Source organism: Homo sapiens, chromosome 7 (assembly GCF_000001405.40).
Source record: "Homo sapiens chromosome 7, GRCh38.p14 Primary Assembly".
Classification (NCBI taxonomy): Eukaryota; Metazoa; Chordata; class Mammalia; order Primates; family Hominidae; genus Homo; species Homo sapiens.
The window spans coordinates 11,414,438-11,431,150 of NC_000007.14; the positions used below are offsets into that span (position 1 = coordinate 11,414,438).

Here is a 16,713-nt window from a genome sequence, read left to right on the forward strand (position 1 = left end):
TTGGCCACCCTGCTCAACACAAATTAGTTACTGTTCCCTTTCCATTCCCTAGAAGTGTCTATTTCTGGCTTCTGGCTGGCAGCTATGATTCCCAGCCTGTCAGGATGGCCACCCTGCAGGCTGCAACCCTTTATGAGATGTAAAGCTCTCCTTTCTAAATTTATGAACCTTGTCATTCTTCAGTTGACAACATCTAAAAAGACTGGCTTGCCATTCATCTACTGGTACAGTCTTCTGAAAACAGTTGGTTTCTAAGAACAGTAAGAAACCAGGAACAAGCCTCCATGGACTTTTTAAGGCCTAAAATAATTGCTTCCTCCTCCCCTGCTTCCGTTGCACTTTGGTCACACTGGAATAACACTATCTGTTTTGACATAATGTGTATTATATAAAGGTCTTGTTCGTTTCTGCAGTGCACTAGGAGAGGACTTATGTTTTAGATAGCTGTATATTCTCCCTACCTAACACCGTTACTGATAGACAGTAAAAGCTTAGTTGGTATCTGTTTAATGAAGGCCTGAGTGAAGAAACAATGTGAGTTAAAGGTAAAACATGTCAAATTAAATTTAGGCTAACGCTGCCTCCTTACATTCAAGTTCATCCTAAAGGTTTCTTCACACACAGTGAACTATACCCTCTTTGGATGTGTAAAAAGACTGTAACCTACTCTTGTGCAATCACTGAGTTTCAAATGTGGCCAATTGTTCAAATCATGTTCAAATATGACAAATGTAAAGGAAAGTTTTTAAAAAAATCTCAGGATCTCATACTCCCTATGCAAAAGGGAAGCGTAAGCTTGGAGGCCGTCTTGCAACATTCTCTTCCAAATGAATAGCTATTGCTAGCATTGTGCCAGATTCCCAAGGAAAGATAAACGGCCTCGGGCATCATGAATAACTTGCTCCCATAGAAGATTCATAGGTAAATTCTTTCATGGCCTCCCACAAACAAGGACATACCAATTATACCAATTGTAACTTTAGGTCTACAGCCTAAGTCTAACTCCCAAAACTAAAGTCTGATTCCACACTGATGCTATCAATCACAAGCTTATTTTCCCAGGTTCAGAACAAAAACAAGAGGAGATCAGTCATTCTTCCACCTACCGAGAGATGCCTGCATAATTGATTTTTCCTCTATTACCTTTTTCTCTTCGAACATTCACCTTACCTTATGTAAAATGTAGATTACGGGGTACTAACTAAAGTCTCACAGGAATATAACTATTTGCCTTAATGCCTGTCTCTCTTCCTAAGTGCCTTCCCCCATTTAAGGGAAAGTATAAACATAAAACCTCCTGAACACCTCTTCAGAAAACCTCCTTGCTTTTTCCCAGATGTGTCCTAAAGCTGGCTTATTAAACTTCGATTGATTGGGACTTTTGCCTTAGTTACTCATTTTGTTTGTCACAAAAGTCAAGGTGTAACCAATCTAGCTGTTTCTGAACCTCACTTCTGTACATCATTTTCTGTATGACACTTATCTTCTCCTGCCCAAAAATCTTTTCCAACCACGTGGCAGTGCTGGAGTCTCTCTGAACCTGTTCTGGTTTGCGAGGCTGCCCGATTCTTGAATGGTTCTTTGATCAATTAAACTGTTAAATTTAATTTTTCTGAGGTTTTTCTTTAAAGAAATATAAAGCCCAGGAAGCACAGTTTATTCACCTCATTGAATTTTATTCCTATCCAAACATTCCTATTGGCAAACTCTCAGAAACACAAAAGATGCTTCACCAACTCTCTTTTATAAATAATAGAGCCTCAATAATTCTTCTAAGATGATTATCCTTGATCATTTAATATAGAAACCTACTGGACAAAGTTCCAGTTTAGTGGTTCCTTTTATTAAAATCCCTATTAATAAGTTTAAGAAGGGGCCTGGGTTCAATATTTCCTATTTTTATAAAAATGGAATCTCTTCATAATATGATATCTGACAAAAAATCTCACTGTTATAAACACAGACAGTGTAGCATATAGCCCAATTATTTGATGTAACTTCAAATCTGATCCTTTGAAATTAGAACAGAAAATCAATTGTATATCCTTGTGAAACAGCTGATTCTTTATTACAGTGTAACTTGCATTCCAATCAACTGCCATCTTTGTTTTATTCCTGCTGTATCAGTTGTCTGCTAATCAGTATGTTTAACACTGAAATGGAATATCAATTTCTCCTTGGAAAATATGCACCATAAAATCCTCTTTGAAATGGTTTTATATTGTATTTCAACAAAATAATTCCATATTAGTTATTTTTCTCATGCTTTTGATGCTGTTTTTGAAATGCACAGTTTTACAAAGGTGCCCATGGGTAAGCCAAATGTCTTACATAAGCAGCCAGTTCTGTTTCAAATGACTCTCTTCCCAGAGTCTCGTGGATGAGCCCCTACTGGCTGTTGAAATATAGAAGCTTTGTGTGATTTGAAACTCTCAGCTGGCTTTCCAGGCCCAAAGAGACACAGAGTCAGTGTGTAAAGAGAGATTCATTGGTGCACAGCTTTCTTCTTCTACTTAGTTTCTTACCCAGTATCTTTTGCTTTTTAATGTTAATACCCCTGCTGCTGTATTCCCACTGTGTGAGAGATTATTCCTACCATTTAAATAAAAGGTACTGGGCAAAAAGCAATGGATGAGAATAACCTGACACCATTAAAGTACCTTTACTTCATTCATTTTCCCTTTTACCTGGAGGGAATCATTATCACCACTGCAGTTTTTAACATGCTGTGTATTTATAAGGCAAACTGAAGGCCTTTTGTGCTGGATTAGGATGATGGGTTAGTAAAGCTTGCAAGAGGTGGAGCTGTTCTAGTGTGAGAGGAAACATTACAGACTTTAAATAGCACAGTCATAGAATGATGTGGCAGAGAAGACACACCTTGCTTTGCTAAATATGGCAAACAAACAGATTTTACATTGAAGTTATTATATTCAAAAAATAATGTCTTTAAAGCTTCAGTGGCAAATAATTAAATAAACTCTACATTAATAAAAAGGTTAATCATCTCACCAAAACACATTGGGTCCATGGACCCCATTCAGATATCACACAGTCCTCAGGGCATGGTAATTTGCACACTCTAGAGCCCAGGGGCATCTCTTCTGGGTCACAGAGGTAATCCTCTACATGTTCAGAAGGGCCATCTGCTGTATTCTGCATGCATCTAGAAAAGAACATAAACATATTCTAGAAAATATACATACATTCTAGAAGTAAAGAAAACAGGACAATTAGAATGACCAACCCACAGGACAGATGGTTCTCCTTAAGACATCGTTATGGGGGTGGGGAGTAGGAAGCTTTGTTATCTAATAAAATTCTCCACAAATGAAGACTTAAAAGGATCTTTGCCTCTCCTAAATATCTGTAGTGCTTCTGCATGATTCAAAAATGTGTTTGCATTCATGAGTCTTTGACTATAAGAGCCACTGTGTATATGTAAACTCTGCATGTTATGCAAGCTTCCTCTGAAAGAAGAGGGTCATTTATACACATATGAGGGAGAAACTAATGAGGAACTGTCCAAAGAGCTTCGTAGAGGGCTTACAATTTGGCATATAATGCATTTATTCTTCTCAAGAAAATGATGGATTTCATAGAGAAGGTAGAGTTAGTTGATTTATATGTGATGAGAGACCAGGCACACTGAAATCTCTAAGTGGGAGATTTCATTGAGTGTTTTTGAAAACAACTAGAGGCATTTATCGATTCATTTTGTCATTTTAAAAGTAATTTTAGCCTCCCTTCTGCTGTGAATCTTAAAAGAAAGTGAGAAGTGAAAAGACAATTATAATTGGTATCGCATAGGTTCTCTAAATATGGTTATTTGGATTTTCCTACTACTTGACTTGAAAAAATTGTTAGTTTGTGTTCCATTTTATTCTCCTGTAAGCAGTCATGAAGGGCTCCTTATTCATCTTTTGGGAGTCTAATTAACATGGCTACTATCAGACTTCACTTTTACCATAGTAAATAATCTCTCTGGGCACTTAAGTATTATAGCAGGAGAGAAAACCTTTATCTCTCATGTGTAACTTGGAAAAGGTCAGCCAACTTAATGGATTTAGGAACAGAACTGCATTTCAGGAGTTGAAAAGGAAGGCTTGAACTCTCAAGTCTCTCAAACCTAGTGTCATGTTTTAAAATATCACTTGAATTATATTGCCAGTGATACCTGGAATCCCAACTTTTATCAGGGATTTACAATCAGCAGGGACATTCACAAATCTCCTCTGCAGAGTCACCTTGCTATGCAGTGCTGCTGAACTTAGGAATGTCCTTTCCCTGTGGGATACATTCAAACACTGGAAAACTGTGTTGTTGGTCATGTCTTAATGAGCCTGTAGCCTGAAAAAAATACCCAAACAAATACCTACCTGTGCATTTTTTTTTTGTATACTGGATACATACATAAAAAGCAATCACAAAAATATGCAAAGTAGATATTGATATGATTTCCTTGTTGAAAAAAATAAATCAAATTGTGAATATTTTTGGGAGAATCTGAGTTTCCCAGGAAAAATTTCTACCTTCAATATCATTAAAAAAATGTTATGGTGACAGCAGCTTAGAGACATGTTGCAGACAGGACATTTCAGTGCTCAAAAGTTGCATTTGCTCCTAAGAATATATTACATTTGAGTAGGTGGTGTCACTATATGCAAGGATTAACTTGTAGAATTACCTATTGACCAGAGTTAAGAACAGATATCCAACACTCTATTAAGCAGTTATGTCCATAAATCTTTATTTTCAAAGATTTCTCTTGATATGATTTGGCTGTGTGTCCCCACCCAAATCTCATGCTGAATTGGAATTCTCAGTGTTGCAGGAGGGGCCTGGTGGGAGGTCACTGGATCATGGGGGCAGATGTTCCCCTTGCTGTTCATGATAGTGAGTTCTCATGAGATACAATGGTTTAAAAGTGTGCGGCACTTCCCCCTTTGCTTTTTCTCTCTCTTGCCACCATGTGAAAATGTGCTTGCTTCCTCTTCACCCTTATGCCATGATTGTAAGTCTCCTCATGCCTCCCCAGAAAGAGAAGCCTATACAATCCACAGAACCATGAGCTGATTAAACCTCTTTCTTTATAAATTACCCCATCTCAGGTAGTTCTTTATAGCAGTGTGAAAACAGACTAATACAGAAAATTGGTACAAAAGAAGTGTAGCATTGCTATAAAGTTACCTGAAAAAGTGGAAGCAGCTAAGGAACTGGGTAATGGGCAGAGGTTGGAACAGTTTGGAGGGATCAGAAGAAGACAGGAAGATGACGGAACGTTTGGAACTTCCTAAAGACTTGTTGAATAGTTGTGACAAAAATGCTGATAGAAATATGGATGGTGAAATCCAGGCTGAGGTGTTCTCAGATGGAGATGATGAGCTTATTGGGAAGTGGAGTAAAGCCCACTTTTGCTATACTTTAGCAAAGAGATGGGTGGCATTGTGCCCCTGCTCTAGAGATTTGTGGAACTTTGAACTTGAGAGAGATGACTTAGGGTATTTGGTGGAAGAAATTTCTAAGCAGCAAAACATTCAAGATGTGGCCTGCCTGCTTCTAAAAGCCTAGCTTATTTGGATAAACAAGTAAATGACCCCAAACTGGAACTTATATTTAAAAAGTAAGAAGAGCATAAAAGTTTAGAAAATTTGCAGCCCCACCACGTGGTAGAAAAGAAAAACCCATTTTCTGGGAAGGAATTCAAGCCAGATGCAGGAATTTGCATAAGTAAAGAGGAGCCAAATGTTAGTAGCCAAGACATGGGGAAAATGCCTCCAAGACATTTCAGACAACTTCATGACAGCCACTCCCATCACAAGCCCAGAGGCCTAGGAGGGAAATTTGGTTTTGTGGGCCAGGCTCATGGCTCCACTGCTCTGTGCAGCCTCAGGACATGGCACCTTGCAACCCAGTCTCTCCAGCTCCAGCCATGGTTAAAAGGGGCCAAGGTACAGCTCAGGCTATTGCATTAGAGGGTGCAAGTCCCAAACCCTTGTGGCTTCCACATGGTGTTGGGCCTGTGGGTGCACAAAAGGTAAGAGTTCAGGCTTGGGAGCCTCCACCCGGATTTCAGAGGATGTATGGAAATGCCTGGATGTCCTGGCAGAAGTCTGTTGCAGGGGTGGAGCTTTCAGTACTAGGGCAGTGTGAAGCAGAAATGTGGGGTTGGGCCCCCCCACACAGAGTCCCCACTGGGGCACTGTCTAGTGGAGCTGTGGAAGTAGGGCCACAGTTCTCCAGACCCCAGAATGACAGATCCACTGACAGCTTGCACTGTGCACCTGGAAAAGCTATAGACACTCAATGCCAGCTCATGAAAGCAGCCTTGGGGGCTGTACCCTGCAGAGCCACAGGGGTCGAGCTGCCCAAGGCCTTGGGAACCCACCCCTGTGTCATTGTGTCCTGGATGTGAGACACAGAGTCAAAGGAGATTATTTTGAAGCTTTAAAATTTAATGACTGAACTGCTGGGTTTTGGACTTGCATGGGGCCTGTAGCCACTTTGTTTTGGCGAATATCTCCCATTTGGAATGGGAGAATTGTATCTTGGAAGTAACTAACTTGCTTTAGATTTTACAGGTTCACAGGCAGAGGGGACTTGCCTTGTCTCAAATGAGATTTTGGATTTGAACTTTAGAGTTAATGCTAGAATGAGTTAAGGCTTTGGGAGACTGTTGGGAAGGTATGGTTGTATTTTGAAATATGAGAAATACATGAGATTTGGGAAGTGCCAGGGTGGAATGATATGGTTTGGCTCTATGTCCCCACCCAAATCTCATGTTGGGGGAGGGACCTGGTAGGAGGTGATTGGATCATAGGGCAGATTTTCCCCTTGCTGTTCTCATGATAGTGAGTGAGTTCTCATGAGATCTGGTTGTTGTAAAGTGTGTGGCACTTCCCCCTTCGCTCTTTCTCTCTCCTGCTGCCATGTGAAGATATGCTTGCTTCTGCTTCACCCTTTTGTCATGATTGTAAGTTTCCTGAAGGCTCCCGAGCCATGTCTCTCCTGTACTGCCTGTGGAACTGTGAGTCAAATTAAACCTCTTTTCTTTATAAATTAGTCTCAGGAAGTTCTGTATAGCACTATGAGAAAAGATTAATACATCTCTCTTCCTTTTATTTTTTTGTTTTACAAGTAATATACTCATTTTAAGAAAATCAGAAGAAATAAAAATTTCCACAATTTCATCAGAGATAACCACTCATAACAGACTATATTTATTAATGGACTATTACTTTAAATGTATCTTTTCATTTTACAAAATGGAAGCAAACTTTACCTATTTGTACCATTTTAAAAATCTACAATATATTATGAACATCTTCCTGTCATTAACTATTTTTCTAAGATATATTTTAATGTCTACATCTGAATTCCATTGCTTAAATGTGCCACAATTGTTAAAATGTCCCTGTTGTGGCATTTATACTTACAGGCTTTATTTTTGTTATTTTATATTAAAAATTTTTATAATCACCCTAGAATACAGAATATTTGGATCAAGTCTTAAGCCCAAAGGAAGGCACTTTAAATTCCTTTGTTTTCTCCAAATTCTTGGCCTTTCTCCTTTCTAAGGAGCAAGAATTATACTTTGAGAAAACTGAACTATATTAGAGATACACGGTGTAGAACCAAGTTGTAGACAAAGGGTTGAGTCAGAAGCCCATCACAGGTGTGGTAATAAGACAGTGTATTTTCTGCATAGATTTAAAAAGCAACAATAACTAAGTCTGTCTGTTTTTTATTATTACTGTGTGCTGGCAATTCTAGAAAAAGTCAGTGAAAAAAATATCCTTCCCTACCAAGGTAAACCACTTCTACCACCACTCCTTGATAGGCCATATCATCCTTAAAGAGGAAGAGTGTAATTGAATAAATTTAAACCTCCTCTTTTATAGACCCATCTATCCTGAAATGTTACCCAACACTTGCATTCAAGCAGGACATTTTGACCTTCATTAGCAGAGGATAATTTAAGGGAAGTGTACTACTCAATCAGTAACAAACAGAAACATCATTACATGATTAGAGATCGCAATCAATACTGACCTCTCTTCTCTATTTGCATTGAAGTTGTTTACTGAAAAAATAAATTGATCTGAAAAGTTACTTTGTTTAGAATGTGTTTGGAAATGTTAAGACTATCTATTTACAAAGCAAAAAAAAAAAAAAAAAAAGTAACATGTACACAGATAGTTGAAGGGAAAGCTGAAAAAACAACCCAGTGGTTTGAGATGGAGTCTCGCTATGTGGCCAGGCTGGAGGGCAGTAGCACCGTCTCGGCTCACTGCAACCTCTACCTCCTGGGTTCAAGCAGTTCTCCTGCCTCAGCCTCCTGAGTAGCTGGGACTACAGGTGCATGCCACCATGTGCAGCTAATTTTTGTATTTTTAGTAGAGACAGGGTTTCACCATGTTGGCCAGGATGGTCTTGATTTCTTGACGTTGTGATCTGCCTTCCTCGGCCTCCCAAAGTGCTGGGATTACAGGTATGAACCACTGTGCCCGGCCTATAATTTTTTTTACTAATGAAACAACCAACCTGATCAAATTCTTAAGGTAATATTTTTTATTTTGAAGAAAAAAAATAATTTGAAAGGAGAATAGTGGAAAACAGAATCTCTTTTTCTGTGTCCCTATCTACTTATTACCTCTCTACCTCTTCCCCATTCCCAGTCCACCTATATTAAGGTCCTCAGAGAAAAAACAAATTGAGAGTTCAGATGGGCTTTTGAAAAAAGAAATATAAAACTTTTTATTAGACATAAAATTATATATAGGTCCATATGCAAAGGTTTTATACGGTAAAACAAATATTAACTTGTTCTGCTTTCCTACTGAAGTAGATTAAAACACCAATCTTAAATGCATGAAAGGTTGGGTTATGGGTAAGAATGAACTTCTTCATAACATGGGTTGCCGAGTGCTGGATTTTTTTTTTTTTTTTGAGATGGAGTCTCGCTCTGTCCCCCAGGCTGGAGTGCAGTGGCGCGATCTCGGCTCACTGCAAGCTCCGCCTCCCGGGTTCACGCCATTCTCCTGCCTCAGCCTCCCGAGTAGCTGGGACTACAGGTGCCCGCCGCCACGCCCAGCTAATTTTTTGTATTTTTTAGTAGAGATGGGGTTTCACCGTGTTAGCCAGGATGGTCTCAATCTCCTGACCTCGTGATCCACCCGCCTCGGCCTCCCAAAGTGGTTGGATGTTTTTATATTTGTCTTTCCTGGGTGCCACTGAGAAGGGTTAAAAGAAACCAGTGTATTTAAAAAGAGTGATGGGAGACTTGGGTTTGAATTCCAAGGCTGCCACTTTACTAGATGGGTATTCTTGGTACATTATTTAGCACTTGGGAATCTAATCTACAAAATGGAGGTGATAAAACCTCGTGCATTTGTTTCATAGAGTTCTAGAGCCCTTAAGGATCATGTGATAGATACTGTATGGAAAATTTAACGAGTATCAATCTAGTGTTAGGCAGTAGGGAATTCCTATGAATATGTGGGGTCTCTGTTTTAAGAAATTTTATAAAGTTTTATTAAGGGGATAGACATGAAGAGGGGTCTTTTCAACACAGTGAGGGGTATATGGAGTGTAATAGAACAACCCTGTCCAATGGAACTTTCTGCCATTACAAAAAATACTGTATGTCTGCGCTCTCCAACAGATAGCTGCCAGCCACATGTGGCTATGGAGCACTGAAGCATGGCTAGTGTGACTGGGGAGATGCATTTTTAATTTAATTTAAACTTAATTTTTTTTAATTTAAATTGAGTTAGTGTGGCTAGTGGCTATCCTATGGGACAGTGTAGCTACAGAAGAACAAGTGACACGCAGGAACCAGCTGGGGGCTTCAGAGAAAGCTCCCTGGACAACAGGATAGTATTCAGTTAGCCAGTTTGATACAAAAGAGCAAGAGTTTAAAACAGATTATTTTAGAAAGGAACTTGGAAATATATTTGGCCTTGAAGCAAAAAAGTTATTGGGGTTGAAAATCTGCATTAGTTCAGATTGAATATGCTGTTCCTTCTCTTTAAGAGTATTTGAAGTGATGCTTCCTAAATCAGAAGGCCAGAATATAATAAACTGCTGCTTGAAGCAGATTCTCTTAGAGTTTTCTATGAGCACAGATTCCCTAAAAGCAAAACTGCAGACAATTTTATCCAGAAGACTGGGGAGGAGTGAACAGTCATGTTGGCACATGTGCAATTGGGAGATAGTTTTGTGTCTTGCTTTTCTGTATAATTAGGCTTTGTCTTACCTCACTTTTCGGGTTTGCACGCCCTCTCCACAGTTCTCCCGCATATTCACAAAGGTCACCTTGCAGATGCTCCAGGGCTCTGTGACCCATAGGTACTGGTTGCAGTCACTGTGGCATGGGACAACCTCATACACCTGAAACACACATGGTTCTCAGCAATCTCAGGGAATCTGGTAAGAGTGAGGAGGAAGACTTCCACACCATAACAGCAATCATTTCACTGTGAAGCTACTTTCACTCCCCTCCTTTACTGCTTATTATTCTAACATTGCAATAGAGAGAACTCAAGAGTTCTAGCAGTAGAGGATAGGGCTAACCATATTGTACTCTGTTGCTCTGCTATTACATTGCAGGTGTAAATCTGATCCACTGGATCACATTAGATAGGTTACATATTTTCCTATGCTGACCCTTAACACACCGTATTGTAACTTTCTGGACCATCTGTGTCATTTACAGTTTTGTGTGACTTCAATACTAGCCCAGGGTGCTCACATGTTAGGTACTCAATAGGGATTTGCAGAATGATTGAATGAAGGATGAGGATTGATGAATCAAATAAGTATAAAACATAGCTGTTTTCCAAATAAATATAATTTGGCCTATTTTCCAGATAACTATAAATAATGATGAGAATTTAGATTTTTGGTGTGTATCATATGGGAAACTAAATTAAAAAGATAAACAATATGAAATAAAGCCATCTTAAAACTAATCCTCAATCATTTAAGGCTTGGAAGCAAAGTCTGATATTGGTGTACAAGCCCAAGCAGTGAGGGCCACATGAAACAAGGCAAATTGTCTCTGCTCCAGGGTCCATAAAGCCTTTCAGTCCCACATTTGGGGTGGTATGCTTGGTTTCAGGTTTTTTTTTAGTACAATGAACCAATTATGTTCTTTTTTCAATGAGAAGAATGACTAAATAAAGGAAATAAATGGCACTTAATCCATTGCAACCAAGCTGACTCAAGCATTAAATAAAATTCTTTGAAAGTATTTTTCTAATCTGTGATAGTCCAACTCTATCCCTTATTTTACACACACACACACACACACACACACACACACACTGAGAGACAGAGACAGAGAGCAAGAGAGAGAGAAAGGGAAGAGAGAAACTATAGCTTTTTATGTAATGAATTCTAGAAAAGATAGATTTAAATAGCCCTTTGCAGCCATTCTTTTGTGCCAATTTTAGTGAACTAAAAACCTAAGTAAAATGAATAAAGTGGACCTGTCTCAAAGAGGAATAAAAAAATGCTAGATGACACGTTAGTGGGTGCAGCGCACCAGCATGGCACATGTATACATATGTAACTAACCTGCACAATGTGCACATGTACCCTAAAACTTAGAGTATAATAAAAAAAAAAAACATTAAAAAAAAAATGCACTGTTGGAGTCAAATTCTGCAATTATTGCCATAAGTGATTATATTCACATTTAGTTGCTGTATTAAAAATAGAACTAAATAGCACAGGATAAAACATTACCCTACAACTTGCAGTGAAAAGAAAAACTGAAGGAGAAATGCTCTTCTTCTTAATCCTTTGATGGCTTTTATTTTAAACTCCTGTACTGAAGTGAATACCCATCAGTTCAGAACAATCTCCAACCCACCCATTTTCAGTCCACTTGCACTTTTTCCTTCTCCCTCTGAAAAGCACAAGACCATTAATAATGGGTGTCACTGCCTGTCGAGATTAGCGAAGTGAAACTTGTTCTCCCCAACTCTTGTTCACCTCAGTCCTTGATATTACAATGAGGGATATGAAATGTAGGAACACAGGTAACTATGATAGAAAAGAAAAATAAAACAGTTATAGAAAAAAATTCTTTAATGGAAAATATGACATTTTCTCCCTGTAAAACATAAAAGACAAAGCAAGAAGAGAAATGTATTCTCAGAAATCAGGAAATTTAAGAAAAGAAGGATTCTATCAAAAAGCATGAGGTTTAAGAGTTCTTACCTGTGCCTGGAGTGGTGTTCAACAGGAATGATGAAAAGGGAGAGAAATAAGGTAGGTGAAAATGTCAGTATGCTATGAGAAGAACACATGGTAAGTTTCAAGTATTATTACTTACATGTAAAAACCTACTTTTTTGGTAAAATATTAGAACATTTTTCTTAGGTCTCAGGAGATAATACACAACTACTTATTAATGTTAAAAAGTAAGATACACAAATGGGTATTGTAAATAGCAGAGCCAATGAGAAAATTAGATGGGCAGGATGGAGAAATCTTAGAAAATGGAGTTGACCTCACAATACATAGCATGGGAAATTGATATATGATGCAAATAACTTGTGATCCAACTTGTCAATGTACTGTTGTCTATCAGTATATTTATAGATTGATCTATCCGTTGATTTACCTTAATCAGTTCATCTGTTTTGTAGAAAATGAGGATTTGAGTACTTCCTTCCTCAGCTAGAAAAATAGAAACTCAGAGACTGTTTTCAAGCCAATGCTTCTGATTATTTTACTGAGGAACATATAATTGTAGTAAACACCTATGTGATTTACAATTTTCAACATTAACACAAAACTTTACATTTTTATTTTCCCTAAATTTCTTAATACACAAATTCATAGAAGTTTCTATTTTTATGCAGAACATTTAGGCTCAAATGTTCAAAAATTTATTATTTGTTTTAGCTTTGATTTTTCAGTTGTTAATGTCTCAGTAAGCCTTCAGTCAACCGATACCAAGTCACAATACCCTTATCAAACTGCATCAGAATATATTAGAGTTGGAAAGTGACAAATGGTTTAGGCCAAACACTAGGAATAGCAAAGACAACTTGGCCTGAGGTTTTGAACCTTTGGAAATTCACTTAAGGAAAATCTGAGGAAAACACAGATTTTAATTGCATATCTGACTGGGTGTACACATACACGCTAAAGTGAAATAGGTATGAGTATGTGTAGAATTTCTCTTTATTAGGATTGGGAGTCATATATAATTTATTTAAATTTGCTACTGAAAATTCAAGGTTTCAAAATTTGTAGAGAAATATTCTTTTGTATTATAAACATTTTAGTTCAGTTTTTCTGTTTTGCAGTTATATAATTATAGTTGCTGAACTGAATTTTCTTTGGAAATTTCCTTAGCATCTTAGAAATGCAAAATGCTCTGTGACATGGAAGCTAAACTACCAGTAGATGGCAGCAAGGGAGTGTGTTATTTACCCTCCATTGCACATAAAGATAAAATCAGCAACTTCACTTGGGGAACAATCAAGACTCTTTAGAGTACTTTTTATAGAATTTAATTCTTCACGATCTTCATCTTAATTTACTTAATTCCAAGGTTCTTTCTGTTTTCTCTACAATGTACTTTTATTATGAACAAAGTTATGTTAATCTGGGAAGGAAAGTATGTATACAGGTAAGCAGTGTGTTTAGAGATTAAAATGAGTCTATGTATGTATGAAACAATTCTACATATTTAAGGACTTGATTCATTTGATTGTGATTTAAATTCAAATACACAACTTAACACCCACACATAATAAATGAAATTATTCTTTGCTAATTCACTTATAGGCCAAACATGGTAATAATTGTCTGATTATGTTACATTCCATTTAAATCAGTCACAATTCCTCCATTAGGCTTTTTCTTTTTATCTCTAATAGAACAGAACGACAACTATTAACAGCAGGTAAGAAAGAATGCATCAAAAGTCAGAGTTCCAAATAAAATTGAAAATGGTCAATGACTAAATTGATAGCATACTTACAGTGATTTTGAGGCCATCTTTGTATTTCTTTTTCTCAGTTTGTTTTATATCAAACACATTTAAATAAACAGTATATATTTTTCCTAATTTTAGACCAAAACCCATATTATTTCTTTGATTTTAATTTAAGCATTTGGTAATTGAGATGTCTTTTCTGACAGTTTGGGGAAACTATAAGAATGAGATAATCTCAGCCTACATGTTAGATACAATCTTATGACAGATTAAATACCTTGACATTATTTCAAAGATAGGTGTCATTTTTCTCCCCATTGAATTACATACATATTCATATATACTTGCAAGGTATGGAATCTCCAGAGAATACAGATATGTCTAATTTGAAATTTTAATAACATGTATGTATTTATTCAGGCATTCTAATGGTAAAAATGGGTCAATTTTTTATTCAATAGCTATTATTTCCTCTTCTCCATTTTGGAGAAAAAATCAGATCATTGTGAATCTCAACAATATCTTAACACTGTCAATGATAGAAAATACCTGGTTGACATGGTCCAGTTTGGGGCAAGGCCTTCCTCCATTATATGGTTTTTCACGCAGCCATTTAGAACGAACCTTCACACCACTCCCACAGGACTTGCTGCAGCGCGACCAGTTGGACCACTCACTGAGCTTGCAGTCTGAGGGGCAGGGGATGATGCAGGCCTCCTCAATGTAACCTGAGTAGAGGAAAATGAGACAAGAATCATCTCCTCCACCTGTCACTCTCCCATTACCACCCACTATTCTAGGTCATTTAGAAGGTCCAAGACTGACTTGACAGCAGCATGCAAATGCAGAGGTGTCTCTGTTGTAAGGGACTTGAATTAAATTCTGCAGGGAAATGTCACATACATACAGTGACTCTGTTAAAATAACAGTTGAGCAGCTGCCATGTGATCTGCTTAGGATTCATGCTCACCATATTTCAACATTTCTGACTGACAGCTCGTGTTTAATTGACAATAACCTGTCTGCTGCCATATCATTCTCATGCTGACAGAATGATACATTAAAAAATTATAACAGTTTTCTATAAAACCCTATCTGTTAATGTCACACAAGTTCAGGGTTCTGAGTCCATGCAACGTTCTTTCTTAAGAAATCCCAGTCCCTTTCACTCAATACCCAAAAGGAACCATTTAACTTAGCATCTTGCGTTTCTCCTTCTTTGAAAATCAAGTCTGAAGAAAAATGCAGGATGTTAAGTAATGTCTCATGTTTTACATGCTGTCACTTTCAGAGCATCTTCACATCTTATATCCATTTGATTCTCTTGAAAATCTTATGTATGAATTGTGCAAGTATTGACATTCTAACAGGCAGGTAAGAAAACAAATGCAGAGCGATGACTGACTGAGTCCAAGGTTACACAGTAAGAGACAGGGAAAAGTTTTCTGAGGTCTAATCCAGTACTCATTCCATCAAATCATCCAACCAATTCGATTAATAGTGCACAGATTTGTTTTGGGAAATGGGAGTATTTTCTTTCAATACTTCTTAACTACAAACTTGCCATTTCACAATATCAATTAAACACTATTATTCTCAAGGCAAACATGTGAAAACAGCAAAATTCCTCTAGTCAAGAATGAAACGCACGGTTGTCCTCTATAATAGTCTGAATGTGGAGAGAAGGTGTTCTTGGTACAAGAAAACACTCTGCCTTGCCATTTTATCTCAACAGCAGAGATTCGATTTTGACAATGATTATAATGTAAACAATTGATACTAGGCAACTCTAGGTAGATTTTTAAAAATTTATGGAGATATAATTCATATTCCATAAAAATAACCCCATGTTTTGGTTTTCAGTATGTTTGCTGCGTTGTGCAACCATCATCACCATCTAATTTTAGAACATTTGTTTTACTCCAAAAATAAACCCTATGGTTACTGGCAGCCACTTCCTACTTTCCCCTTCCTCATCCCCTGACAACCATGAATCTACTTTCTATCTCTATGAATTTGCCTAATCTAGACATTTCATATAAATGAAGTAAAACATTATGTGATCTTATTTCTTTTTTGTTTTAGAGATGTCTCACTCTGTCACCCAGGCTGGAGTGCAGTGGTGTCATCATAGCTCACTGCAGCCTTGACCTCCTGCACTCAAGAGATCCTCCTACCTCAGCCTCTTAAGTAGCTGAGCTGGGACTAAGGGTGCCCACCACCATGCCAGGCGAATTTTCATATATATATATATTTTATAGAGATGAGGTGTTACGGTGTTGCTCAGGTTGGTCTGGAACTTCTGGCCTCAAGTGATCCTTGGCCTCCCAAAATATTGGGATTACAGGTGTGAACCACCATGCCTGGCTTGGCTTCTTTCACTTAGTATAATGTTTTCAAGGTTCATTTATGTTATAGCATGTATCAGTTCTTCAGTCCTTTCTATGATTGAATAATATTTCATTGTATGGACATTTCACATTGTTTATCCACTCATCAGTTAATGGACATTTGAGTTTTCACTTTTTGTCTATCATGAATAATGCTGCTATGAACATTTGTTTACAAGCTTCTGTGTGGGCATACATTTTCAATTCCCTTGAATATATACATTACAGTGAAATTGCTCAGTTATGTGGTAACTCACTTAGCTTTTTCAGGAAGTGTCAAACTGTTTTCCAAAATGACTGCAGCACTTTATACTCCACCAGATATGCACGCATGTTCCAATTTCTATGAATTCTTGTCAAACT

The 16,713-nt window shown here is 37.6% G+C and overlaps 1 protein-coding gene across 6 annotated transcripts in view; it reads right to left on the minus strand.

Annotated features, from left to right (window-relative positions):
* Positions 1–16,713, minus strand: part of THSD7A (thrombospondin type 1 domain containing 7A) — a 461,834-nt gene that overhangs the window by 44,073 nt on the left and 401,048 nt on the right. For all 6 annotated transcript variants that reach the window (XM_006715662.2, XM_006715660.2, XM_006715659.2 and 3 more), the window contains 4 exons: positions 14,510–14,688; positions 12,229–12,234; positions 10,259–10,392; positions 3,013–3,166 (listed from right to left, as the gene is read on the minus strand). In XM_006715662.2, the coding sequence (XP_006715725.1) occupies positions 3,013–3,166; positions 10,259–10,392; positions 12,229–12,234; positions 14,510–14,688 (473 nt within the window). The remainder of the gene's footprint in view (positions 1–3,012; positions 3,167–10,258; positions 10,393–12,228; positions 12,235–14,509; positions 14,689–16,713) is intronic.